Source organism: Homo sapiens, chromosome 5, assembly GCF_000001405.40.
Source record: "Homo sapiens chromosome 5, GRCh38.p14 Primary Assembly".
Classification (NCBI taxonomy): domain Eukaryota; kingdom Metazoa; phylum Chordata; class Mammalia; order Primates; family Hominidae; genus Homo; species Homo sapiens.
Window position 1 is genome coordinate 9,187,339 of NC_000005.10, and position 27,268 is coordinate 9,214,606.

A 27,268-nucleotide genomic window follows, 5' to 3' on the forward strand; every position below is an offset into this window, starting at 1 on the left:
TGAAATATGTAATTATAGAGGTTGTTCAGTTAAAATTGTCAAGCCAGTCTAAACAAGCTGAAATGCTTTCTGGGAATTCACTTTTCAGTAGAACTGCTTTTGTACCTGCCCTGGGTCACTGCATATGGTTTGGAGCAGGGTTTGTGTTGGGCCCCGGGTATCTATGGCTGTTTTCTGCTGGAAAGTACCTTCACCCACTACAAAGTTCTCCTCCTCTTGAGTTTAACTAACAATCCAACTAGTGAGAGATGGAAACTGTCAAAGAGTTCTACATATGGCATCTTTACCCATAATCCCAACTTGTGATTCAAATTAACAGTATCTTGATGTACATGTACAACACAATTGAATTTGTACACAGGCAGTAGATCAAAAGAAAAGCCAAAAATCAGGTTTGTGGAACAATAAAGCGAATCTCTGCGAAATGCATTTGCCAAATGGCACATAGTATATCAATATCGGAATCAGATCTGCACATCAGACAGGATCAGATGGTCTGGAATCCCTGCGGCAGCTGAGTCCTGAGCTACTCTCAACACGGTGTGGGGGTGAGGGTGTTGGGAGCAGCAGTCCAATCATGCTATCATTCAAAACAGACATGTGCAAGCAAGTTTCTAGAAACTTTTAAATAGTGGTTTTAAACAATGGTAAAAGAAGTTGCTTGTAGCTATGGACTGAATGTTTGTGTCCCCCCAGGATTCATATGTTGAAGCCCTAATCCCCCATGAAATGTAATTAGGAGACGGGGCTTTAGGGAGGTGATTAGGTCATTAGGATTGGAGCCCTTAGGAACGGTATGAGTGTCCTTATAAGAAGAGACATAGGAGAGAAGATCTCTCTTCATTCTGTGAGGACACAACTAGCAGGCAGCCATCTGCAAACCTGTAACAGGGCCGTCACCAGGAAATGAGTCATCAGCCACCATGATCTTAGACTTCTAACCTTCAGAACCATGAGAAATAAATTTCCGTTGTTTAAGCCACCCAGTCTATGGTAATTTGTTGTAGCAACTGACTAAGACACTCATCAAAGTAAAAATAGAGGAGTTTCATCAGAAATCCTCAGAAGTTCACTACAGTTCATTATAAACACAAGAGAAGCAAACATGACCTACTTGGACTTACGTGGGGAGTACGTCCAAAGGCTCAGGTTGAGACCTCAGGCTGCTCTTCACTGACCCATTCAGGTCTACTCAAGAATAGCCTCAACCCCCATCAAAATCCCTCCCACTCCCAAGGTACTAAGGAAGTCCTCAACTGCCTCCTAGAATTGGAAGAAGATGGCCCTATTCTCCGTGTCATCAGCCTGGACATTTATGGTGAAAAACTAGGAACTCTTATGGAAGGGTCCAGTTCATTCATCCCACAAACCTATTCCGTGCCGGGTACCCTGGGGAAAATTAAGGAAATACATGACAGAATAAAGAGAAACAATCCTTCCTTTCTCTTAACACAAACAAAAATCAACAAAATCCTTTCCTTGACCTCCCATCCCCTCCAGATAACTCATCAATCCTCCATTTCCCTTCCCTGAAAAGCTTCTAGAGGAGATGCCCTAAGCAGCTGGTTCCATCTGACTTCGGCCAGTGCTCTTCCTCCTCTCCAGTTCCTCCTCTTCCCACAGACTGGCCCTGAGGAGCAGCTGTGGCCTCCATCTGCCCACTCAGTGGTCACATCTGTCCTTACCTTACCTGACCACTCAGTGGCACTGCCTGCCACTGGCCAGTCCCACATCTGGCTCATTGGTTGTTTCCCTTATGGGTGCAGGGCTGGCCCTGCCTTCTCAGTCCCTGCTTAGCTTCATCATCACCTCCTGGCGGAGATCAATGCTAACTAGCAAATGCAGGAGCTTGCTGGGCTGTCTCTGCGCATCTGCTGTGTCTGCTCACCGTCACCTTCCTGGCATCTTACTGACTGCTCTGTTTATTATCTGCTGTCCCCACTAGAACGTAAGGTCCAGCAGGGCAGGTGATGCCTATGTGTTCACCAGTTTCCTTCCCAGTGTTTCAAATGAACTCCACAAATAGTAAAGATTCAGTAGATAGTAGCAACTTCATGAAAAAAAAAAAAAAAACTAACTGGTAAATATGTGGTAAATATGTAACTAGGAATTGAGAGGTTCTTAGAAGAAAAAAAATGTATATTATTATCAGCAACAAAAACAGTAATCGTGATCCATGAGAAATGACAATTATACAGAACACTGGACAAAGAATGGGGAGGGGCAGACTCCACCATGAGATGGCTCTGTATGGGAATCTGAAGGCAGGAAAGAGAAGGACAAGCCCACAGAGCTCAGCCAGGTCCCTACAGCTGGCCTCACACACCCAGAGCCGTCTGTGTAATGAACTGAGATGGAACATGCTTTCTACACTCTAGTTGCTTTGGAAACTGAAGAGACCTAATTGTCATTTGTAATTTGAAAGTATCACTGCCTACATTTGCTGTAAATGTTCCATTATTTATGCCCCAAAACATATTCTTTGAACACTGCCATGTACCACCATCCACGCAAATATTTTGCTGAAGGCACTGTTTTTGAACAAATGAGAAATAACCATGACAATCCCAAGATAATATTTCACCCAACAACATCTTCCAACAAAGCATACCTTTGTCTTAAATTATCCAAATTCAAATGGTCTTGCCAAGAAAAGACTTATTTTATGAATAGTTGAGGAATAATAGCAAAGAAACAAGCCATTGTCTTTCCAATTAAAGTTATGACCAATATAGTGAAAATAGATTGAGATTTCCAAAAAGAGGGACAGAGGCTGAGGAAGATAAGTGAGCATCGCGGGTTTTGCTGGTTGCAAAAAGAGACATCAGGCGTAAAGCTTGAAATTGAAATTGAATGTTTAGAATCTAAATCTAAAACACAAAATCAGAAGATGGTAGAAAACCCCTCAGAGGGGGCCAGAGCTCCTACCTGTGGCCAAATAGATGATGTGGACGAGCGCTTCTCTGCCCTGCACCACGTCGACTGCCACGTGGGAAAAGCGGCTATTGTCCTCCATGAAGGAGGGCACTGTGGTCACTGGCTGTACCACCTCATGCATCAGAATGAACTTCTGAGCATCCTGCAGATTTCTCTCGGTCAGGTTCACGTACAGGCCCTGGTCCACGGTGCCACACTGAAAGGGAAGACGGGCCAGGTTACCAGAGCCGGCAGCCTGGACACCCACAGCTGGCTGTGGCCACCCTAGCTGGAAAGTAACTTGGAAATCAAGTAAGCCACAATCCATCATTGAAGTATGCAAACATGTCTGCTTCTCCATCCTCCCTGCAGCCCCTATCCTTAGCATCCTTTTCATGTTAGATTTGAACTCATATCTTGGGAGTCTCCCAACATCATCATAAATGAACTGATCAGAAGTTAAAAAAAAATTAAAGTGGGAGTGATTGCTAACTTTAAACAGCAGATGCATAGAAACTCCTCCTTTCCCGTCGAGTTACTTGAAAGCTGTCTGGTTAAACACATACTATTATATCTGCCTGACAAATTAGGTAGCAAATTGAAAATGCAACAATCAAGGATCTCATATAGATGTATTAGTTTTTCTACTGCAGCAGGGGGTCTGTAAGCAAGGCATGGATTTCAAGCTGATAGCATTAGGTCATTCTCATCTGTAAGATCGAACAGCATTCACATGGGCTACAAAAATACTGTGCTGGCCTTACTGTTTTCTACTTGTATTTCCAATTAGAAGAAATTATTAAAAAATGTTTAGAGTCCAGGAATATGGAAAAGAACATGGCAAATTTATAAGAAGAACAGGAGATGAGGAGGTAAGGGAAATGGGGAAGGAAAGGAGAGGAGTGGGGAGAAGAGAGTAGAAAGGAATAAAGAAGGAAGAAGGAAGGAAAGAGATTTCAGATAGAGCAAATATCATGGAGATGAACCTGGGATATGCAAGGGGAAATTCAGCCCTGTACAATGCTGGGAAATAAATTCAGAGCTGTGTTGTGGGGAGGCTGGCAGATGTTATATAAGACTGTTTCTGGCAAGGATGAGGTAAAAAGAGGGATAGAAAGGAAAGCACTGCTTTCTTAGAGCCAAGCTCAGAATCAGAAACTACTACCAATCCTTCTCATGTCTTTCATAAACTTTAATTCCTGGTACAAATGGTGACTGATCCCCAGTAGAACTTCACATAAGTAGGTTTGATGGAAAAGAATTTCCAGGCCCATACCACCTGAAACTACCCTTTATAACATGTCATGTCTAATATGTGGTTTTATAACAGGTGAGAGGTGCAAACGTATAAGATGGAAATTGCTTTTTGAAAAGTAGATGAGATATTTGTATAGCATTTGATAAAATGCTCCATAAGCCATAAAATGATGGGATGATTGTAGAAAAAGAGAATCTGAGAGTTAAACGGATTTCATGCATCCAGTCCAAGGCTTAATTTACTATCACACCCTTGCAGGGGCACCCCAAGTTCCACAGGCAAGGACTGTGTGAGTTTAGGTGAAGGGCTCAGCCCTGCCATGACCCAAGTGTGAGTTTAGGTGAAGGGCTCAGCCCTGCCATGACCCAAGTGTGAGTTTAGGTGAAGGGCTCAGCCCTGCCATGACCCATGTGTGAGTTTAGGTGAAGGGCTCAGCCCTGCCATGACCCATGTGTGAGTTTAGGTGAAGGGCTCAGCCCTGCCATGACCCATGTGTGAGTTTAGGTGAAGGGCTCAGCCCTGCCATGACCCATGTGTGAGTTTAGGTGAAGGGCTCAGCCCTGCCATGACCCATGTGTGAGTTTAGGTGAAGGGCTCAGCCCTGCCATGACCCATGTGTGAGTTTAGGTGAAGGGCTCAGCCCTGCCATGACCCAAGTGCTACTCTGGCTCCGTGGCTCTCAAGCCACATGGAATCAGGTGAGTGGCAGCTGTCCTGCCACATGGTCTGAGGTGAGGTCTCGCCTCTCAGTCTCTGTCTCTTTACCTGTCCGGTGGCTAGGAAAATAGTTACCCTGCTCATTTCTCAGGGCTACTGTGAGACCAGCTGAGATAATCCGTGGAAAGCATTTGTAAATTAACTGGAAGTCCTTATAAATGCCAAAGAACAAGACAATGTGCCTGGCACTAAAGAGAAGCCATTCAACTAATGGTGAATGGTAAATGCATTGGTCTTGGAGCAGGACAGCAATTCTATGGTCTGTTGAGCTTCAGTGGCCAGAGGGAAATGAGTGAATAAACAAAGAAGGGAAGGAAACAATGAGTGAATACACAAGTAGTTGTAATTGGGGGGGGGAGGGGATGTGCTAGGAAAGTTTATATAATTACAGTATTAAATAGTAACATTTGGAGGTCAGAGACAAGTCCTTACCTGTCAACACATGTTTTAAAAAATGAAAAAGAGCTCTACTAGGCTTGATCTAATGTCTACGCAGAAAGGTTCTAGTTCTGAGCATGATGTTACGTGTGGTGGTTTACATTCCTGAAATCAGTGGTGATACCCAAGTCACGGCGGCAGTTAGCTGCCTACCTGCTGGGTGAAGTTTGCACACAGGTCTTGTTTTGTAAGCATAGTGTTTAAAAAAAAATTGGTATCTTGAAAACCGGATGGCATAATATACAAATAAGAATCTCTTGCTGTTCTTAAGGAACCCAGAAAAATTGGACACCTAACAGGGAGTTCTCGGTGGCAGGGGTGAGGCAGGATCACTCGCTACGCCTTGTCATCTTTATTTATATATCGCCTGTATCAATCTTATTTATGACTGCCAGAATTGCCAAGAATTGGTTTTGAGGTATACTCTACTACTTCTTGGTTTATTTTGCTGGCTATAATATTCCACCCAGTGCTTCTATTTCAAATAGTTGGAAGAGTATTCAGAGTTATAGAATCTATGTATTGGATCATAAGCAACCCACTTAGCTCTCTAATACCTGAAAATTTTCTAGCTTTGCCTTTTATGCTGGACTCCCGCTGTGTCCGTGTGGGGCACTGTGTGACTCCCTGGGTTCACCATGCAAGAAGAAAACAATAAAAATAGTAAAAGCACAGCCATTGCTCTCATGTGCCCTACAATCCACAACAGTTTTCATGCCAACATCTCTTCAAGTAATTCAGTCAGTAATTCTACAATTTTTTTAAATGATAATAAATATTTGCACTTTTGTTTATTTACTTGTTTCTAGGACAACAAATCCATTCTTGTTCCAGCACACTAGTGCATGGTGGTCAAGCCCACAATCACCTAACCTCCTGCAGGAGTGCCCAATTTTAATGGTCCCTTTGTTCACTTACTCCCTTGCATCTTGCTGCAAACATGCTTGGCAGGCCGGGGGCGGTGGCTCACATCTGTAATCCTAGCACTTTGAGAGGCCGAGACAAGTGGATCACGAGGTCAGGAGTTCAACACCAGCCTGGTCAAGATGGTGAAACCTCGTCTGTACTAAAAATACAAAAAAATGCCTGGCGTGGTGGTGGGCACCTGTAATCCCAGATACTTGGGAGGCTGAGGCAGACAATTGCTTGAACCCAGGAGGTAGAGGTTCCAGTGAGCTGAGATCGTACCACTGTACACCAGCCTGGGCAACAGAGCAAGACTCTGTCTCAAAAACAAAACAAAACAAAACAAATCTGCTTTGCATATCAAAGGGTCCTGATGGACAGGATCAGATCTACGCACTTGCTCCTCCAACAACTGCCTCCTCATCCACTTAACTACATTTGAGGGTCTATTCGTCCATTTCAACTCCATCCTTTCAGAGTGACAGTAATCAAAGCTGCACAGAAAATTCTGGAGTCTGTCACAGCTCAGCTGTGCCACTGGGCCTCGGTGATGTTTTATATCAGTGATTGCCGCGTGTCTTACTGAGGGTCAGGGTCTGGATGACTTTGAGGACTGCAGCCTCTAACAGGGCAGGGCTCTGAAGCACCGCCTAGAGTGGTTTATATATTTTGTCCGAAAAAAATGATACTTTTTGTTGCTTTGTTACTGTTTTGAGATTTCTATATTAAATGTTGAAATATCATGCACCATCTCTCCTAACCCATTCTTCTTCCTGAATCCAATTCTGCTTTCTGCTTCTCTGATTAATTAGCTACTTCTAGTATGTAAGTACTGCACAAAATCCTAAATGTCAGTAGGAAAAACAAGAATTTAAAAAATCTAACCACTTTCCATTGTTGGTTATTGCAAACATAAGGCCTCTTATACATGTCTGGGGAGGGATCGTTAGTTCAAATTGAATTCCCACTCTATGCCAGTCTGGATGGTTTCATGAATGTCTGTGAGGATACTTTGCCAGTGTGGTTATCAAATAGAGTAAACATAAAGAAAACACTTGCTGTGTACTTGTACTAGGAGTTATACAAAGAATCACCATAATCTGTAACTTGAGCTCCATTGGAGTCTTAAATAATACTCAGAGAAGAACAGCTCAGGAATGCAAGCTTCCTGCCTGAAACGCATGCCAATTTCTGCATGCTTCATTCATTATGCTACATGGACTGGCTTCCATCCCATAATGAGAGTAAGCCATTCAGTGTGACACTGGCATTATAAAACCAGTCGCTCCTGGCCTTAGGAAATGAGATTTGCTGTGTGCTGCAAAGGTATCCTGATGAACGGGCTACAAGTTATCCACTGCCTGGAGGTGGTAAGGGGCTATGAAGTTTACTAAGCCACGCTGTTCACAGTAAGGCCTTCTGCAATAAAAACATCACTGTATGGAAAATACAGTAAGCATTATTAATTATTTAACCTTCAGGATTTTATTATACAAAGGACTTTCTTAAAAGGAGTATTTCCTGTATTCAAGAGGAGAAAATGAGACGAAATATGCATTTACACAACATTTGATATGTAGAAGGCACCAAATAAATGATTCTTTTTTGATTTTTAGAGACAGGGTCTTGCTCTGTCACCCAGACTGGAGTGCAGTGGATGGATTATAGCTCACTGATTGAACTCCTGGGCTCAAGCAGTCCTCCATCTCAGACTCCCAAATAGCTAGGACTATAGATGCATGACACCGTGCCTGGCTAATTTTTTTTATTATTATTTTTGTAGAGACAGGGTCTCACTCTGTTACCCAGGCTTGTCTCGAAATCCTGGCCTCAGGAGATCCTCCTGCCTTGGCCTCACAAAGCACTGTGATTATAGGCATGAGCCTCTGGGTCCAGCCCTTAAGAGTTATATTTATCAAATATTTTATACAGTAAACAATGCACATTATTCAGTGTTATCAAAATTTACTCCTAAACTATTTGCATGCATTTTTATCCCTTTCCCCCTTTGTTGATGGAAATATGCAATAAAGATGCATAATAGATAGATGTGTGATAAAAATGCACATAATTTGCTCAAGGAAAGCAGCACATGGAAAGATGACATGTAAGCCAGCCATCTTATTTTTAATCTCATGCTCCTTCAAAAGCTTAAAGACAACAACAAACACAAAACTCTTTCAAAACAATCATAATTGAATGGTCCTTGCAAAAATCAAAGTAAAGTATAAAATCACTGAACCTTTCCATACTCCCAGTTTTGGGAGTCCCAGATACAGGACCCACTTCTACCACTGATTAATAATAGTAACTAATGGCCATTTAGTTGGAATAGGCTAGGATTTTGCATCTGAGGACCGAGGTTGGAATCCTCACTTGGCTACTTATCAGCTGTGTGGCCCTGGCCAGGTGATCTGCCCCAGGCCCACTGTCTTTCCCTGCACATGGAGAAGGCATTACCCACCATAGCACTGCCACCAGTGTGCAAGCTGATCTATCTGAAGCATCTAGCACAGGGTCTGGGACTTGCTGGTGCTAAAAATGACAGCTGTGATAATGATGATGATGATCTTAAGAAAGCTGTCAGAAGGCCCTCCAGGGAAGCCTGCTGCTATGGACCCAATGTCTGTAAGCCACCCAAATTCCTACCCTCCAGTGTGGCTGTATATGGAGATGGGGTCTTAATGGTAGTAAATGAGGGTAAGTGAGGTCATAAGGGTGGGGCCCTGGTCCAGTGGAGCTGGTGCCCTTACAAAACAGGAAGAGATACCCCAAAGGTGTCTCTCCACCATGTGAAAATGCAGCAAGATGTCCACCTGCAAGCCAGGAAGAGAGAGCCCTCACCTGAAAATGGCCCTGCTCACGCTTTTGTCTTGAAGGTCTAGCTTCTAAAACTGTAAGAAAATAAATGCCTCTTTTTTAAGCTACCCAGTCGGTGGTGTTTTCTTACGGTAGTCCAAACTGACTAATACACCTGCCAACTCACCAAACATGAGTAAATTGCTTCATCTCTTTGGGTCCCAGCTTCTTCTGAACACTGGGAGATGGATGACTCACAAAGCCCTGGAAGCTTGAACCTCCTGCAGTTTTGTGATAACAGATGAAGGGCCTCCACCTCCTCTTCTTTCCTCAGCTGCCTGCATCACATTCTGTCCTTCCCAACAGGGAATCCCACCACATTTGCCAATTAGCGCTCTAATCCTGTTTGTGTGTCTCTGCTGCTCTGTGCCCTGGACCCCATTCATTAGAATGTCATTCATTAGGGATCAGAGATTCTGAGGACACAGAGCCCAGCATCATTAGTACTAATTGAAGCCTGGATTCCTAACCTGCTGCAGAATGCTGGCCTTTTTCCGCCCAGTCTCAGGCATCACAGCTGACAAAAGGCCCTTTCTGGGTCCAGGCGCCACAGTTCACAAAAGGCCTTGGTCTATTGACATTAGCCAGCAGAGTATGGGGCTGTCCATGAGGGGCCAGGGAGACAGCTGCATGGTGCATGCACCCGCGGTTTAAATTACCCTTGCCTGTCTACACAAGGCTTCTGCATTCTTCATGGGGGATGCCAACAGTGCCCCTTTGCCCCCCGAAAATTACCTGGAAGTGGGGGTTTGGGTTGGGATACGGTAGCCAGGCCGAGCGCGAGTTTTCTTGGTACTTGAAGGGCCCAGAGAAGGCCTGCGCGATGGCGCTCAGGTTGAAGACGCACACAGCTGAGGCCGCAATGCTGTTCCTGGGAGCGGAGGGAGAGAGAGAAGGCAGTCAGAGAGCTCGGCAGCACCTGCTGACCTCCCCCTATGGACTGGGCAGCAGCTGTGACCTACAGCTTCCAGAGGTCTCAAGACCACAGTCTCTTAAAGATCCCAAAAGGATGAAGTCAGAGCGTGAATGGGGCTCCCCTGTGGAGGAACAAACATCTTGGTACAGAAACCAGGCTAGTTAGCATTTAACACCTTGTAATCCTGTCAGCCAGGATTAATTCACTCAGTTGCAACAGGGGCAAGAGGGAATTTGAAGAGCTAGCTATCTGCTTCACCTTTCAAATTCTGGAATAAAAAGACTTCCTTCTCCAACGGATGGCGTCTCTCATCAGCCTCATGCAGTTCCCTTCCTGACCTGTTTATCTGGTCACTTTGCCCAGCAGCAGGGAAAGCTGTTTGTGTGTGTGTGTGTGTGTGTGTGTGTGTGTGTGTGTGTGTGTGTGTGTGTGTGTGTTTTAACCCAGATATTTGTTTTATTTGTCATCCTTTAAAAAAATCAACTCAAAGTATTTTATAAAAAGTGACTGTCTGACTCTTCATATTTTCTTTTAATGTAAAGTAGATTTTAAATTCAAAGGGTCAAAGAGAAAAATTTGACATAGCACTGACATATGAAATCCTGAAGCCATAATTTAGAATTCAGGCTCTGAGAGAAAGTCATAAATGGGAGCCCTCAGAAGGTCAGTGCCCTCTGACTAAGTATGGAAACAGCAACATTATTTGGTTAAGTAAATTTGCATTTTGAGCTCAGTCCGGGTTCTCAAAGGGGAAGTGGAGATAAAACAAGAAAGCTTACATATATTTTCTCTTGCTCTGAGACAATACCACAAGCATTTCTCATCAATTTTCTTTTCCTGCATCAAAGGAAAGGTCAAACTCCAAAACTGAAATACCTACCTTATATTTCTTTGATTTGATAAATACTGAATAGGAACTAGGCTCTATTCCAAGGACTTTACTAATTCCCATTCATTTAATCCTCATAAGGTGAAGGAAATTCACAGGTAAGGAAAACCAGGCACAACGAGGACAAGACCCTTCCCCAATGTCAGCCAGCTACTAAATGGGGAAGCTGGACTTGAACCTAAGGCTGGCTCCAAATGCCCGGATTTTCCCCAGTATGGCTCCAAATGCCAGGATTTCCAATCCTTTGCAATATCTGTGGGTGAAGTAGACAGGATTCTACTTCAGGAGAGCAGACAGTAAACACATCCTTATGGAAAAGTAGGGCCTTGAGGGTATTGTGGGCCTTCTGCATTTTCTCCAGAAGTCCAGCACCAAGGACAAGGCTCAGCATGATGCATACAGGGCCTGGCGCTGGAAAATAAAGGGGCGAACACCAGCTATGGGTTTGTTCACTTTGCTCTTTTGACTCTTCATTATCCTTAGAGAGAATGGGAGAAGTTAAAACACAAGTACAGGGAAGAAACTGGCCTTTGAACATGTGAGTGGACTTTAATAAGGACAAGAAAATAAGTGTGCTGGAGTAAGAATGGCTAGACACAGGATATCCCATCCAGGCATGCCTTGGGCCAGGTGCAGAGGCAGGCAAATGGGGGATATTACGAATAATAACAATATTTCCCTGAGCCCCCTGCTAAGCACTTGATACAGATCATCTAATTTCTCACTGAGAACCTACAGATCCTGAGAAGACCCTGACTTACAGGTAAGAAAACAGTAGCACAGAGAGTTTACGCAGCCCAAGTCACAGGCTGCAGAGAAATAAAGCAGGATTTGTACCTGCTTTGCATGGGGCCCCAGGTTTCCAGGCAGCTTCCAGGTAAAGGAAGAACCTAATCTTCTTCCTGCTGGCATAATGTTTCTCTGTTCACTACAACCACCAGGACTGAATGGGCTGACCTGGGCTCTGGTGTCACCCAGAGACTCCCCTGGATGTCCCAGTAGCTGCCAGTCTGAGCATCCTTTAATAGTGTTGTGGGAACACTTCTTCCTGTCCCCTGTGCCATCCCCTGGGGAGCACAATTGGTATAGTATAGCCCATGCCTGCCCCTCTACCCTTTCACTTGCTGTGCTCTGGGGGCAAAGGACGGGCCTGTGTGACTCCACTGTGCTCCTCCCTCTGCCCTCCCCGCTCTTCCTAGGATGGGATTGTCTACAGGAAGTACATATTCACTCGCTTCTTCAGGGTCTCCAGACCTGTGGGCAGGCGAGGGCAGCCCAGGTCTAGAACATGACCTTGAGAATGAGAAGGCTTAAAGCTGGAATCAGTATGAACAAGCTCACTTGGACAACAGACCTGCAGCCACCTGTTCCAATCTGGCTTCTATCAGCAATCAAGGTAATAACTTACAAGAGCAATAAAAAAATCCTACCCCCCACCGCAACTTTACTATCTTTATATCCATATCTATACATAGTAATACTTTACTACAATCTCTACAGTTTACTATCTACACTATAAACAACTACAATGGTAAGCCACCATTTTTAGATACCTAGAAATAAAGCCAAATCTTTAGAGACTCCATTGTAGTAGCACACCATTTTCTGCAGGCCAACCCATGCTCAAGTGACTGAGAAAACTACACAGTCGTGCTAGGAACAGAAGGAGTCGGAATGGTTATCTTTTCCCCATTCCCCTAGTGCTGAGAAACCTTGACGAATGTACAGAGGCAAAGCAACATTCTGAGCCCTGAAGCTCAGCCCAGTATCGGACAGCTTTCTGATTCATAAGACCTCTGATCCTCCTTTTCTTTCCGTTTGAAAAAAACCTTGTCTGAGACATGAAAAGGAGGTGGAAAATATTGTGAAATTTGAGTTGGGCATATTAGAAATGCATTCTCAAGACCCAACACAAATTAGTATTCCAGGGAGAAAGGGGAGATGTAGCACTTCTATCTCTAAAAGTATAGATTCCGTACATTGGGTGACTTCTGACATGATGGGAATTTGCAACACTAAACAAATAGTCTAGAGTAGTCTGAAACTTATTTTTGCAACTATCTAAATTGACCATACACCATCTTGCAATATTCCAGGCATGGTACTTTTATAACTTCTGAAATTGGTGTTTTGTTTTGTTTTGCCCAGAGCCAGGGGAATGAAGAGCTAAGTAAACCAGACTCTCCTTGTGCATAAAACTGATGTCAACTGAGCAAATGCACATTTATCTTGGGTGTGACTACACTAGTTTTTAAACAAGGTTTTGGAAAGAAAATCAACTTCAGAAACTGTAAATTGATTTTTTAAAGTAACTTATCAAAGAGAAGAAATAATCTCTGGGTTGAAGACCAGATTTATGAAAATAAAGATGGCCACGGTGGAGCAAGGATATGTGTGGAGCCATCCATACTAGCCTTATTTTTCTAACCTCATGTCAGAAAGAAGACTCTTCATGGGGGGTAAAAGTTGTTATTAAGCAAATACTAACACAAGTTAAGCAGTGGAGAGACCAGGAAGAGAAGGTTAATGAGGAAATAAGCTGCAGGTAAAGGGACTTTTTAGAAATACCACTCATGGGCAGGCATCTGATGCCCAAGAGATGAAAAAGTAAATTAAAATACTTAGGAAGCAGAAAGGACATCATAGGGTGACCAGTTGTCCTGGTTCACCCAGGAAAAAGAGGTTTCCTTAGTTACAGGGCTGTCATCAATGCTAAAACTGGGATAATCTCAGGCAATTCAGGACTGTTGGTCATCCTACCTCATTTATCAGCACTTCCAACCCATCCAGATTTTGATCCTTTACTTTGCATACAAATATTCAGCTTTTGCTTAAAGTCTTAAGTCACAAGACAAGAGATTTCAAAGGTGATCCAAATCAGAACCCATAGTGTAGGATCAGCAGCAGCACAGCCAGTGTGTAGGAAAGTGATGCTCAGAGTCTCAATGTGAGCCTTGATTCCTGGGTTTGGCACGTGCTCCTCCTGAGTCTTACACAGCATACCAGCTAAGGATAGGAAATAACTCTGGAGACATGTGATACTCCACTAGATTAAGAGTGAAAGAGATCAGAAAACTTCATAAGCTTAAGACAGCCGAAATATTGTTCATTCTAAAGTTAGGAGTATCTCCCTGTCCCACCCCCAGACAAAAAATACTATAATTTTTACAAAAATATTTCAAAAGTATAATTGACATTTACAAAATGTGTGCTCAAGTAAGCAATCTTCTAGAATAATAGTGTAAAATGCAGCTATGGAAAATGTGCATTTCAAATATGAGCAAGGTTTAAGCAAGAGCCATGTTATCTCAAAGATTTCAGATTCTCCAGGCAACACTATTTTCATTATACACAAATGCATGACTTGCATATAGAAAAAATATACATATAATATGTATCAGTATTTCAAAAAGTGCCCAGAACACAATGGCAAATCAGGAAGGAGCAATTTATAATAGAATAATTTAATGTCACTATATCCTAAAGATTGACAAAAACTTTCTTGATTTGGCGTATTTTTCCTAATACCAGTCTCACAAATCACATATCTTTATCTAACATGTAGTCTACTGAAAAGTCCTCTTTTTTTGTCTGTTAGCCCAGTAAATTAAGAAAGATTTTCTCTAAAGTAAATTTAAAACCTCAGAGGTCAAAGAACAGAAGACTTATTCAGAATGAGTAAGAGAGAGGGGAGAAAAATTATTTCAAGTTACATACACATTGGTGGTAAAGATGCCATAGATCAAATCCAGCTCAGGCAGGAAGAAAGTACTCTGCAATTCGTTGTAGTAAAAGGGGACTTCCCCAGGACGGGAGCAGTTCAGGCGAGCCTTCATGAATGTGGTCCAGGTGTCTTCCAGCAGGAAGCGCCCACCAATATCGTTCTTGCACACCCGGGCAGCTCTGGAGAACACTGTTTTCCCACAGTCATGCTCTACTGCATTTTCTCGGAAAAAGAAGTAGGTAAAATTTCCGATGTCATAAGATGACACAAAGTTTGGCTCTGGAAACAATAGAAAAGAGGGAAAAAATCTCAACATTCATGTCATTCCCTTTTGGTCTTGCCTGCTCAGTATTTCATCCAAAGAGACGTGGTTTTGTTTAGATAACACCTGGTTCCTATAGGACTATTGGGAGGCCCCGTGAGCAGCTTAATGATCTACACTGTTGGGAAACTCAGTGTCATACACAGATTCTAAATAATGGGAAGTCACTGGTATGATTACACACTCAAGTATCCCGAGCTAAATTAGGGCTCAAGTTAATGGGACGTTAATACCAACAAAAATTGGCAGCAAATATTTGCAGTACATTTTAGAGCAATATGTATTACTTTATTTGCAAATTCTTACATAACCTTCAGAGAGGGAGAAAATATGATTAAAAAGATGAAATGTGGTTCAGAATATAGCAGTCTACAATCCTATTTGTGTGCAAGACAACAAAATTATTTGACTTATATACATTCCTGTGACTTCGACATAATGTATGTGCTTTTACTAAGGACGTTAAAAATGTTTTCATTGTTGGGAATGAAAATAAAGACTAAAACTATAAGGTGTGTCTGGAATTAGCTGTAGCAATTTCTGTTGCTATGGTGACCATGGAATAGTGAAAAACAACTCTGATTTTCTTATTTCTGGTTTGCTGGGTAAACCATTTAGAGGAGGGAAGAGTATGGGGATGGAGACATTGCTTTGTAGTTTTCTGGTCTCATAATTAGTTTTAAAATGGGGAAACAAAGAAATGGCAAAATTATGGCAAAGCCTTTACTTAATCACCAAGATCTTCAGGAATTTAGGAAATATACATTATCAACTGAATTTTACATACAGCATTTGAAGTTTTAGCTTCCTAACTTCCGGTTTGAAACCAGTGATAATAGAGATAGTACATTTTGAGATACACATACTCCGTAATATTTGCTTTTAAAACTCTAATCACAAGGTTTTATTCTTCGCTATTTCTAAATGCTATTCATTCAATCAGCAAGTATCTTAATTTTCTGGTGCAAATTAGGATAATTATAGCAGTAACCTTTGGTGTCCAAAATTAATGGAAAGATACAGACAACAAGTATATTCACAAAGACACATTTTCAGGGACAATTAGTTTGTTGGGGCAATTCAATTGGCCTTGTACCTTTCCAGATACAATTGCACTGCAATAATAACATGTTACTGGCAGGACAACTAAAAATATGTGTGGCTGCAAGATAAGCCATTAATGTTAAGAGTAAGACACATAAATGGAATCACCTAAGGTCTGAAGTGCAGAAGTTGACTTCAGACATTGACAAAGGGTTGGGATTGACTACTCTGTTATTCTGTCCAGGAAGACTATTGCCAATTTTCAATCAATACCTATATTCGATATTTTCACAAAATGTTTTAATTTAATCCAACTTTACATTTTAAAAATGTAATAAATACTCTAAATGGTTTATGTATGATACTTTTCCCTTCAGTACAATACGTTGTTAAGTCATTGAAGTATATCAAGTAATATACTGAGGTGATTTTAATTTATAAACCGTCCAACATATTCTTAAGTCACTATTGCTTTCACCCTAAATGACTGTTTAAAAAAAAACTTGAATTGCATAACATTGTAAAAGATGGAGGTTAGATATCTTTACTGTGATAGTATGCTTTAATATCCTGGAGAGATGTTCACAAAAACAGCAGATTACATATCTGTAACTTGTGTTTTTGGAAAATAAAGAAAATACTGGGTGGTGGGTGGGGGGGTGTTAAGTCTGTGTTTACTGTAAGTCTCCAAAACAGAATTACCTGATGAAGCAGGCCCCAAAAGCAAAGATACGGAACAATTTCAAAACCATGTGTAAAGAAAATAATACTGGCATGTCTAATTCTAAATAAGAGTCTAAATTATTTTGGAATGGGTCCTGCACCCTGGCTAAACAAAACTAGAGTTTGGGAATTGTACTAAAAACAAACAACAACAACAAAAACAGCAACAAGCAACCCTTCCTAAAATGTGGAAAACAAAGAGAGAAGGCGTAAGGGTCCAAGTGTGTCTAGCCCGGGACTTAGGTTACCAGCACACATGCAGGAGGTCCACCAAAACTTATCAAATACACTCACTATTACCCACTTCTGCTATTAACTTGGGGACAAATGGCATGAAAACCACATAGTAAATAGCTCCAGTTTCTCAAAAGTCCTGAGCTGAAAAACGAGAAGATACAAAGGAAGAAAGATCTTTTATGGTTTCCAGCTGAAGGATGAGTTTATAATAAAAACAGCTAATATCTGTAGAATGCTAAGTCTTGTGCCAAGATCTGTGCTTGGTGCTTTATATCCCCATTGAACTCACAAGAATCACAGAGCTAGGTGCTGTGCTATTCTTCCCATTTCACAGATGAGGACACTAAAGCCCAGAGATTTAATAACTTGTCCAAATTCACATAACTAGCAGTGGGGGATGGGGATGGAAAGTCCTGAATCCATTAGACCGGGGGTCACCAACCCCCAGGACATGGACCAGTACCAGTCCATGGCCTGTTAGGAGTCAGGCCACACAGCAGGAGGTGAGCAGCAGGCAAATGAATGTTACCTCCTGAGCTCCGCCTCCCGTCAGATCAGTGGCAGCATTAAATTCTCATAGGAGCAGGAACCCTACTGTGAACTGTGCATGTGAGGGATCTAAGTTGTACACATCTTATGAGAATCTAATGCCTGATGATCTGAGGCAGAACAGTTTCATCCCTAAACCATCCCCTCTATCCTCCCTGCCACCCCCAGTTTATGGAAGACTTATCTTCCATGAAACTGGTTCTTAGTCCCAAAAAGTTTAGGGACCACTGCATTACACTATACTGAAAAAAATAAATAGTGCTTGCAAAAAGAAAACAATCAAAAGCTAGCAATATTCAACAGGATTTGATTTTCTGCTTTAGAAAAACAATGGTAAGCTCTTGGCTGGACAGTCATCTTTCCATGGAGACTGGTAAGCAGGTTTACTGAGGAACAGTCTAAGGGGGGTTTCAGAACCAACCAGAGAGACAATAAATGATGAGATGAAACTTTAAACCACAGTTATCATGGAAGTCAGGAATGACACAGAAAGAAGAAAAAGTGGAAGAAGAAACAACTTTAAGGACTTATTAAACAAGAACATTGTTGGAAAGTGTTTGACCCAACTCCAGAGGGTGTTTCAAGGAGGGCCAACCATAGCCTCAGAGAGCCAATAAATGACTTTCACGAGGTCATTCTGTACCCTGTGTCTGTTCCAGCAAACCACATCCACTTTTGCAGACAAGGAGAAGACTGAGCAATGGCAGGTAGACTGACCCACAGTTTCCTCTTTCCACAGAGAGCCTCTACCATATCTCCAAACCACCCTGAACCAATGTTATAAGATCACAACGTCCATTTTAGATAGAAATGCTCAAATACATGTTTTCCTTTTGGTTTGCAAAAACAACAAAATAATTTGTATTCAGTGTGTAGTGAGTGCTGTTCTCTAATTCACCACACAGTGCAGGTCATGTTGGTCAGGGAGTGAGACTGCATTTGGAAACACATCATGCGGCCCTACACTGATCCTTCAGGATGAGGGTGGACCCCTGACTGTGTGACCTGCCATTAACTCGGGAAACACAGTTTCTTGAAAAGTAGAGCCTCTTGAAATTCGGCTAGCATCCTGTTCCTTTTTCAAAGACAATGAAAAAGTGGGAATAATTGTAAGACAGACAGTCAAATAGCTCTTATATTTATTGATATAAATTTGGAAGTAGGGGATGTTAGAGTCTTGCCAGGCAGGATGATAAGATGAATTTTGTTTTCCTTCCATTATTTAAGTTCTGTCTTTTCTCAAAATGCAATCCACCACAAACTAGTATCTGTCACTCCTGAGTGAATTGAACAAGTCAGAAGGAAAATCAGGTATTTTCTTCTTGTCTACAATGGATAGGAGTGCATGAAAGAGAGATCTGAGGTATGTTGCTAACTAAATCACAGTAAAAACAGGCACGTCAGCTGCTGTGTAAACATATGCATGGAGAAACTGTTTTTTCTAATGTTTGTAAAACATACTGAGTTATGTATTACCGTGTTGTACAAAATATATCATGTTAATAAGAATTCTTCTTCATGATATAAGAACTTTTATTTTGCATATTTACTTACATAATAGTGACCATACAGATAGGACTACCGAGAAGTGACTCACCATATATGTAATTACAAGTGATGCGAAGAAAAACATCAAAAATTTTGAGATTTCGACCACGCAAAACCAAATACTGAGAATCCAAAAGAAGCCTCCCATTCTATATTCTTTCTATTCCAATGCCTAAAGCATCAATATGGGGGTACACCATATTCAAATGGCTCGATCTGATCATTGAGCAGATCTTTAATAGGTTCTTGATATAAAAATATTTGTACACAATGGGAATGAATATTAAAGGCACAAAGGAATCCCAACTCTACAAAAATCTTACTAGAATCAAAGTCAATTATAAATTATTTTGCAGTCAAAAGTCGCCTTGTGAGACACTTGCCAAAGTCAGGCTGGAAAATGCCTGTACACGATGCCTGTGACTCTGCCCTGGTTGGACCATTGACATCTGATATTTTCTGTTGTTGCATCTGACAATCAGACCTAGTTTGCAAAGCTGTGAAAATTAAATGGGCTGATACATAGCAGGATGCCAATAAATGGTGGCTATTATTATTTTGGCATCGTGTACAGGCATTTTCCAGCCTGACTTTGGCAAGTGTCGCACAAGGTGGCTTTTGACTGCAAAATAGTAGCCACCATTTATTTACTCTCAATGTCCCTTGGAATAATTTCTGTTGAACAGAACTTCACATAATGATAATGAATGATCAAGTGTATATATATATATATATATATATATATATATAAAGCTTAAAGGTCATTAGAATTTTAGGAGCATAAATAAGTCATACTGAGTTTTGTTTGTTTGTGTTTTGAGACAGAGTTTCTCTCTTGTTGCCCAGGCTGGAGTGCAATGGTGCGATCTCAGCTCACTGCAACCTCCGCCTCCCAGGTTCAAGAGATTCTCCTGCCTCAGCCTTCCAAGTAGCTGGGATTCCAGGTGTGCACCACCACACCCGGCTAATTTTGTATTTTTAATAGAGATGGGGTTTCTCCATGTTGGTTAGACTGGTCTTGAACTCCCAACCTCAGGTGATCCGCCCACTTCAGCCTCCCAAAGTGCTGGGATTATAGGCATGAGCCACTGCCCCTGGTCTACCATGCTGAGTTTTTAAATAGCAAGCTATTTCACAAAAATAAGATGAGTTAACGGAAACAATATTCAGATGTGACACACAGCCAGCAGTTTTCTGTTCCTAAATTGTTGGTATCAGTCAGTACAAAATGCCTTCCATAAGCATTCCCTGATTTTAGACCCTCTCTGTATTGGGTACATTGTTTCCATTGTCACAGTTTATGTAGATAAAACTGCTGTAGAAGCTTCCAGGGCAAATCTATTTTTATCTAGATATTCATTAAAATTAAAAGCGGATAACTTAAAATTAAATTAAATTAAACATAGGTTAAAAGCTACTGGTAGGCTAAAGTTCTTTTCCTGAGGTTTCTACTAAAAGACAGATGATGATAGATAGATAGATAGATAGATAGATAGATAGATAGATAGATAGATACATAGATAGATAGATAATAGATAGATTTTAATAGATGGATGCGCACATTTGTGTCTGTGTATATGTGTGTATCACATACATGAGTATAGAGATATATGTATACATGGCTCAATACTTCCACCTACTGGCTGTGTGAATTTACTCACATTATTTACCAGTATATTTTCTCTGTTTCCTGTTTTTGAATAACAACAACATCCAACATACAGTATCATTGTGAGAATCAAACGCACTTTGCTGGTAATCATCAAAATACAGACCTCTATTTATTAAAAATAACTCCAAAAATTAATATAAACACAGATGTGAGTAAATAGTATCAGTAATTAATAAGATAACTCATTGAGTATGCATTCCGTATATCAAATTAAGATCTACACTTATTCCATCAAGCCTGAAACCAAACACAGTGGCAGGGACCATGCTACAGACGAGCCTGGAGCCGGCCAGAGTACTGCTCTAGGCATTTCCTCACTGCCTCAAGGGGCTGTCCTGGGCACTGGGTGCTCCTTAGTAAACTGATAGACACAGCCCGTGCCCTCAAGAGCAGTGTGAGGAGACAAACAAGACAGATCAACAAGTGCTTACAGTGAGGACAAGGGTATGGAGGGCCAGGGCAGCTGGGAGAAACAGAGGATCAGAAAGGAGAGAATAGGGAAAGGGCAGAGGTGAGGCTGAGAAGGGGCCACCCAGACAAGGATGGGGGAAGAGAACATCCCTGCCAGAAGGAGCAGCCTGGGAGAAGACCATAAGGCTGGCAAGGAATGGAATGAAGCCACAGTCAGGATCAAAGAGATCAACAGGACGGGAGGTGGAAAGCCAGGCAAAGCCAGGAGCCCATAACAAGGAGTATGGATTTCAACTGCCATTGGAGAGACACCAAAGAGTTTTAAAGAAAAACTTATCACTCCGTTTCCTGGGTGTGTGGTGTGGGATGGGGTAGGAAGTTGGAGCCAAGTGCATCCTTGGTAACTATTTTCACAGCAATCAGGGCCTTGCATCCTCAGGTGTGTCACTCATTGAGCCCCTTGACAGAAAAAAGTTATTGCTAAGACCCTTGCAGTAGGAGTGGAAAGACAGTTCTAGCACATTTGATTCCTTCCTTCTTCCTGGGGAATATGACCCATTGAAAATACACTACTTTCATGAATTTGCTGATTCAAGTAGGAACCACTTTTACCAAGGGGAAATGGGCTGGCTTCCCCTAAATGAGAAGCACCACTTCTTCACACCGCCCTACAAGTCCAAAACTCACACCTACAATTCTCCATATCTTTAGGTCAATAGGAGTTTTATTAACTGGATATGTGTCTAAATGTTCTAGTTCAAAGTGACAGACTTTAGTGTCTACTCTGCTCTTATTCCATTCCAAGCACATAGCCCTCTCTTATAAAATTCTGCCAAATCACACACTCCTATTAGTTATATATCATTTCATGAATATTTCTGAAAATTGTCAAAACACAAAATTTCTATTCGCCATGTTCATTTTTCTCTGATGATATTTTAAATTTACAGGTTCACTTCTTTGAAGAATTAATCATTTAATCTGCCAGATCAAATTAATACAAGGTTTTTATTGGAATGTTAATTTAAATTTTAAAATCTGGTAAATATTTTAACTCCTAAAAAATATGTTAAAAGACTGAAAGAAAACCATGTAAGATTTTACTGAAAGAAGACATTGAGCTCCAACATTATTCAGTTGTTATCATACTTCTTCCCAATAAGCTACTGTAGAATAAGGAAACGTGCATGATGGCTCTGGCTTTGTCTCCTGAGTTGATCTGAGCTGGGGCAAAAAGAAGACCAAGACACAGGGAGCCGACTTCCCAATATGTGGCAGTGAGTGAACAAATGTCAGAGGCCCTTGACTGGGATAAATAAAAAGTTCAATAGAATAATATAGAGACAAATTTATAGAAACACATAAATCTGGGCATTTTAGAAACAAGATGACAACATGATTTATGCTCTAAACTGGGATGCTTTTAAGAAGGAAAGGAGGTAACATTAGTCATCAGGCAAGGACATCAAGAGGGATTCAAGACTGTCACTAGGAAACTGCTAGAATCTCTAGACAATGAACATTGAGCCATTTCCCAATTGTTTTAGCAGTTCTAGTACACGTCTGCATGATATCTTCACTACAGTGAGGCATCCCTTCTTGTAGTGGATTTATTCTTTATGAGGTTTCCTTGACTCATGTATATACAGTTCATGCAAGTATCCCCATAATGTGGTAGCAGGAGAAAGAAAGATTTACTCATCCCTTTTCTTTTGGAATGCACAAATTAAAATCTAAAGGTAGTAAAAGACCTTTGGCAAGTATATTGGCAAGTGTAGAAGCTTCCTCACATGACTGGAGAGGACCTGTGGCTCCCCAGCTTTTAAGCCCTCTGTGCTCGATGTACAGGATGGAGCAATACAGTGTTTTCAGAGCACCGTAAGAACTGACTCATGTCACTTAACCACACTTTTGTACCCATAAAGGTCTGCATTAAATTACCACACAGGCTTTTCTACTTTGGGTTTAACAGCCCCAGTTTATTGCACCATGTATGCAAGGCTACAACAGTCAAGAAAATGCTCTCAACCTTTTCCAGAGTCCACATACCCCTCTTCATGGCAGCTCATGCATGAAAATGTGGGCATCGGGAGAGAGAGATGGAGGCCATTTGTAACGCTGGTATTTCCTAAAGTGCCAACTAAACAAAGGGAAGGTCAGCAGCTTGTAAAGGAGGAAGGGTGCAAGCTCTGGAGTGGATCTGTTTTCAAGCGCTAGCTCAGGTATGCATCAGGTATGGCCTGTGTCAGGGGGCAAGTCCCTCTGAGCCCCATAGTGCTCATCTGTAGAAGAAGGATAATGCAATCTCCCTTAAGAGGTTGTAAGAAGGATGGCAGATGACATGGATTTGGAGTCTTCCATCTACCTAGCATATTGTAAATAGCTACTGCGACTCTTCCTTGCGGGTGGTGTAATAACTACAAGTAACAGATACTCCAATAAGTACATGGACAGGCAGGCGATATGCATGGAGGCCATTGATTTAAAATGATTCCTGACCCTCAAAGATAATAAGATTAGATTTACAGCACGATATCTGAACTGCAGCCATCCCACAAGGCATAGGCAACTGGCAATGGCTGCTGACAGGCTTGATCAGGCCTGAATATTAGAAAAGGGCATCTCATTGTGCTGTGTCACATGTCACACAACTTTGCTCAACACACTTTCCATCCATGTCATCTCATCTTCACCCTAGCAAGTTTAAACTTGAATAAGATATCAGCCTTGGACTTGTAATGCTGAAAAGAACTTATTGTTCACAAGGTCATTCTTTTTAAGCATCTCCCCAGGTGCTTATTTGGAAAAAAAAAATAGGCTGCTGACTATGCAGTCTTGATTCTATTCTGGCTTTACAGAGCTTCTTTTTCTTGACAAATACTTGCATTTTGGTACCCACATATACTTCATTCCCAATCCTCATTTGTCTTTGTTTTGCTTGTTCTCTGACCTCTGCTTCCATTTCTGAATTTCCAGCTGTAGCGAATCTTGTCAGTCGAGAGAGCACCTCTTGCAGACCAGTCACACCTCCAGGTACTGTGCTGTGCATACCCTTCCAAACAGGCTCTCACTGTCCCCAGGTTGGAGCCCAACAAAGTCACGCCACCCTAGCTGTGCTCAGGCTGTTCAGAGTCAGCACCTGGTCCCAAGGAGAAGCACTGAGCTCCCCAAAGCACCTCTCTTCAGGACAAGCAGAAAGAATTTCTCCTTGACTTAAGCACGGAGGAGATTTTCATCCTCCAAGTAAATTATCATTAATCATTAGAAGGTTCATAGTTGCATTTTAAAGACCTCAAGGGTCTACTTAATGCTTGAGTAACATCATCAATGTATTTCAAACAAACAGAATTTAACATTGTTACCAGAAGAGTTTTCTCAACTAGAATTATAATAGCTCATAAAAAATGATACAGTTGAAAAGACAATGCTTGTGGATTTCAAGTGAGTTCACCTCCATATGAAATCCTGGCCAAAATCTCAGAGACTGCAGGACACTGTGGAGTTCCCTGGGAGAACTCAGTGGGATAAGTACACATTTCCACCAGAGAAGGAAAGCCAGCTGGTCTCTGAGTGTTAATAAGGCTACGTGGATTAGATGTTCATGCTGAGTTATTAAGCCTCATTTAGGAGTTAGTTTTTCCAAGTTCCTACTCAAGTTTTTCCTCTGTGTGCAAGCACATAATTCCTTCAAAACTCACAAACTCAATTTGCACAATATTAATTTGGAAATGTATTTTCACCTTTTCATGGGTTTATTGTTCCCCAACTTGATTGCCAGTTTCTTGAAGGCAAGTTTTATTGCTTTTCTATTTTAAGCATCAACCATTAAACATTTATTATCCTGCCTTACAGTAATCATTTCAAAGTTATTAACGATTAATATTTTAATGCATTAAAGCTGTTAAGGTATTTCTCTAAACACATAAGTTTGTTTTAAGAGCGACTTTGGCACAGGAGAAAATATGACTTTGAAATATATTCATTACCAAACACATAACTTAATGTTCCAGATTCATCCAGAATGTCATCCAATTGATTGTACTGCCTTTGAGAAATGACAATAAATAATGGCTGGAAATGGGGGGCTAAGTGAGATGAGGGCTCAAAGGGAAGATGTTATAAATTTTTGGACCAGGTTCAATTTCAAATATGCATATCTGTGTTTTTGTTGCTGTTTAATTCTGATATATAATTAATAGAACATTCTCCCATGTTTAACATTATTCACATTTCTGCTATTTGTGAAGTGTGCTAATGTCTTACTCATTCAACAAATATGGATTAATCCTCATCTATGTTTCAGACACTGAGTAAGATGCTGAGCACATAAAGCAGGCTTCCACAGAGCCCCTGCCCTTAAGGAATTCATAAAATAGTGGGGAAAACAAAGAAGTCAACTATCTACCCATTGTCTTCATCTATTCCAGCTGCTGTAACAAAAAATACCATAAACTCGGCAGCTTATAAACAACCAACATTTCTTTCTCACAGTCTGGAGGCTGGGAAGTCTATGATCCAGGCACCAGTAGATGTGGTGTCTGGCAAGGGTTTGCTTTCTGGTTCCTAGCCGGCACCTTCTCACTGTGTCCTCACAAGGTGGGAGGAATGAGGGAGCTCTCCGGGGTCTTGTTTACTCGGGCACGAATCCCATTCATGAGGGACTCCACCTTTATGACCTAATCAGCTCTCAAATGCCTCACCTCGTAATACCATTACATTGAAGGTTCAATTTTAACCTACGACTTTTGGGAGGACATAAATGTTCAGACCATAGCACCATTTAACTCATTAATTAGAAAAAATGTCCGTTGAGTGCTTACTTTAATGCCAGCACTGCTGTAAGCATGTGGGACCCAGGAGTGAGAAAAAGACGTTAAGTCCTGGTCATTGGGAACTTTCATTGTAGTGGTGGGAGGAAATAACATTAATAGCTGAGGCTAAAACTGAACATGGTAAGAAGAGTCAAAAGGGCTAGATAGGAGGGAGCTGTGATCTGAAATAAGGTGGTGAGGCTTGGGTTCCATTAAGAAGATGGCATTTGAGCAAAGACTCAAAAAAGATGGGACAGTTGGCCAGATGGGTTGTCTGGGGGAAGAGCTTTCCAGGCAGAACAGCGCCCAGCAAACTCTAGCCCATGGGCCAAATCCTACCTGCTGCCCATTTTGTGAATAAAGTTTTATTAGCACCCAGTCACACTCATGCATCCATAGACTGTGGAGATTTTCATACTATGATGGAAAGATTGAAAAAATGCAACAGTGGCCATGTGGACTGCAAAGCCTAAAATATTTATTCACTGGCCCTTTATAGAAAAGTTTGCTGAGCTCTGAAAGGCAAGGAAGAACCAGAGGCACTGTGTGGCATTTCAGAGGCTAAAGCCAAGGGAGCACATAGATGAGGACAGGAAGGGAACAGGAGGGCCATGGCAGCACTCTGGCTTTCTCTGCAAGTAAAATGGGGGCTCTCGTAAGGTTGGGGCAAGAGACTGACCAAGAGCTCCAGTAGTATGGGGGAAAGTGCAACTTGAACAGTGTGAGAAAGGGATGGAACAGACCCACCAGAGACTGGGGAAAATGGAAATTTAAACTAAACTAACTAGGAGCCAGAATTAGCCAGGAGGCAAAATCAAGCAAAGTGAGGACAAAATAATCACAAACTGCAAAGCAACATGGTGAGGAAGGCAGAATGCGCCCCCGAAACTGCACATTGCTCCTTAAAGGACACCAAGCATGCATGCGGGAAAAATAGCAGGAGCCAGGGCTGTAAAAACAGGCAGAGCCAGATCATAGCGGCCAGGCAAGAAGAAACAGGCAGAACCCACAAAGGCTTCCAGAGCTCGGGCCAGGCCTGCTGGCCCTCTCCAATCCAGCTTGTGCTGACAGCTGACAGCACCTCCCACCATCTAGAGCCCCTGCAGAGGTGCAGAGGATCAGGGGGAAGGGAGTGTGTATTCATCAGTATATAACCAATAATGCTGTTGGTGTCATAAGAAATTGCACCTGGAACTGCAGTATAAAATCCAAGAGACTTAGCTTGCTAAAGGCAGGTTTTTAGAACCATACCAGATATTTATGATGGGTTTCTGCAAGATGTGGTGGGAAGGTTAGAATTCTGGTAGGTCCTTACTCAGGGATCTCTG

At 41.7% G+C, this 27,268-nt stretch overlaps 1 protein-coding gene across 11 annotated transcripts in view, besides 2 other annotated features; it reads right to left on the reverse strand.

Annotated features, from left to right (window-relative positions):
- SEMA5A (semaphorin 5A) overlaps window positions 1-27,268 on the reverse strand; it is a 511,043-nt gene that overhangs the window by 152,306 nt on the left and 331,469 nt on the right. For all 11 annotated transcript variants that reach the window (XM_011514158.3, NM_003966.3, XM_011514157.3 and 8 more), the window contains 3 exons: window positions 14,617-14,902; window positions 9,830-9,965; window positions 2,929-3,133 (listed from right to left, as the gene is read on the reverse strand). In XM_011514158.3, the coding sequence (XP_011512460.1) occupies window positions 2,929-3,133; window positions 9,830-9,965; window positions 14,617-14,902 (627 nt within the window). The remainder of the gene's footprint in view (window positions 1-2,928; window positions 3,134-9,829; window positions 9,966-14,616; window positions 14,903-27,268) is intronic.
- Window positions 9,398-9,898: an enhancer, noted in NCBI's record as "H3K4me1 hESC enhancer chr5:9196848-9197348 (GRCh37/hg19 assembly coordinates)". NCBI's record gives its function as "activates a minimal SCP1, AML or CMV promoter by ChIP-STARR-seq in primed H9 embryonic stem cells {active_cell/tissue: H9 hESC(primed)}" and the evidence as "EXISTENCE:reporter gene assay evidence [ECO:0000049][PMID:30033119]".
- Window positions 9,899-10,399: an enhancer, noted in NCBI's record as "H3K4me1 hESC enhancer chr5:9197349-9197849 (GRCh37/hg19 assembly coordinates)". NCBI's record gives its function as "activates a minimal SCP1, AML or CMV promoter by ChIP-STARR-seq in primed H9 embryonic stem cells {active_cell/tissue: H9 hESC(primed)}" and the evidence as "EXISTENCE:reporter gene assay evidence [ECO:0000049][PMID:30033119]".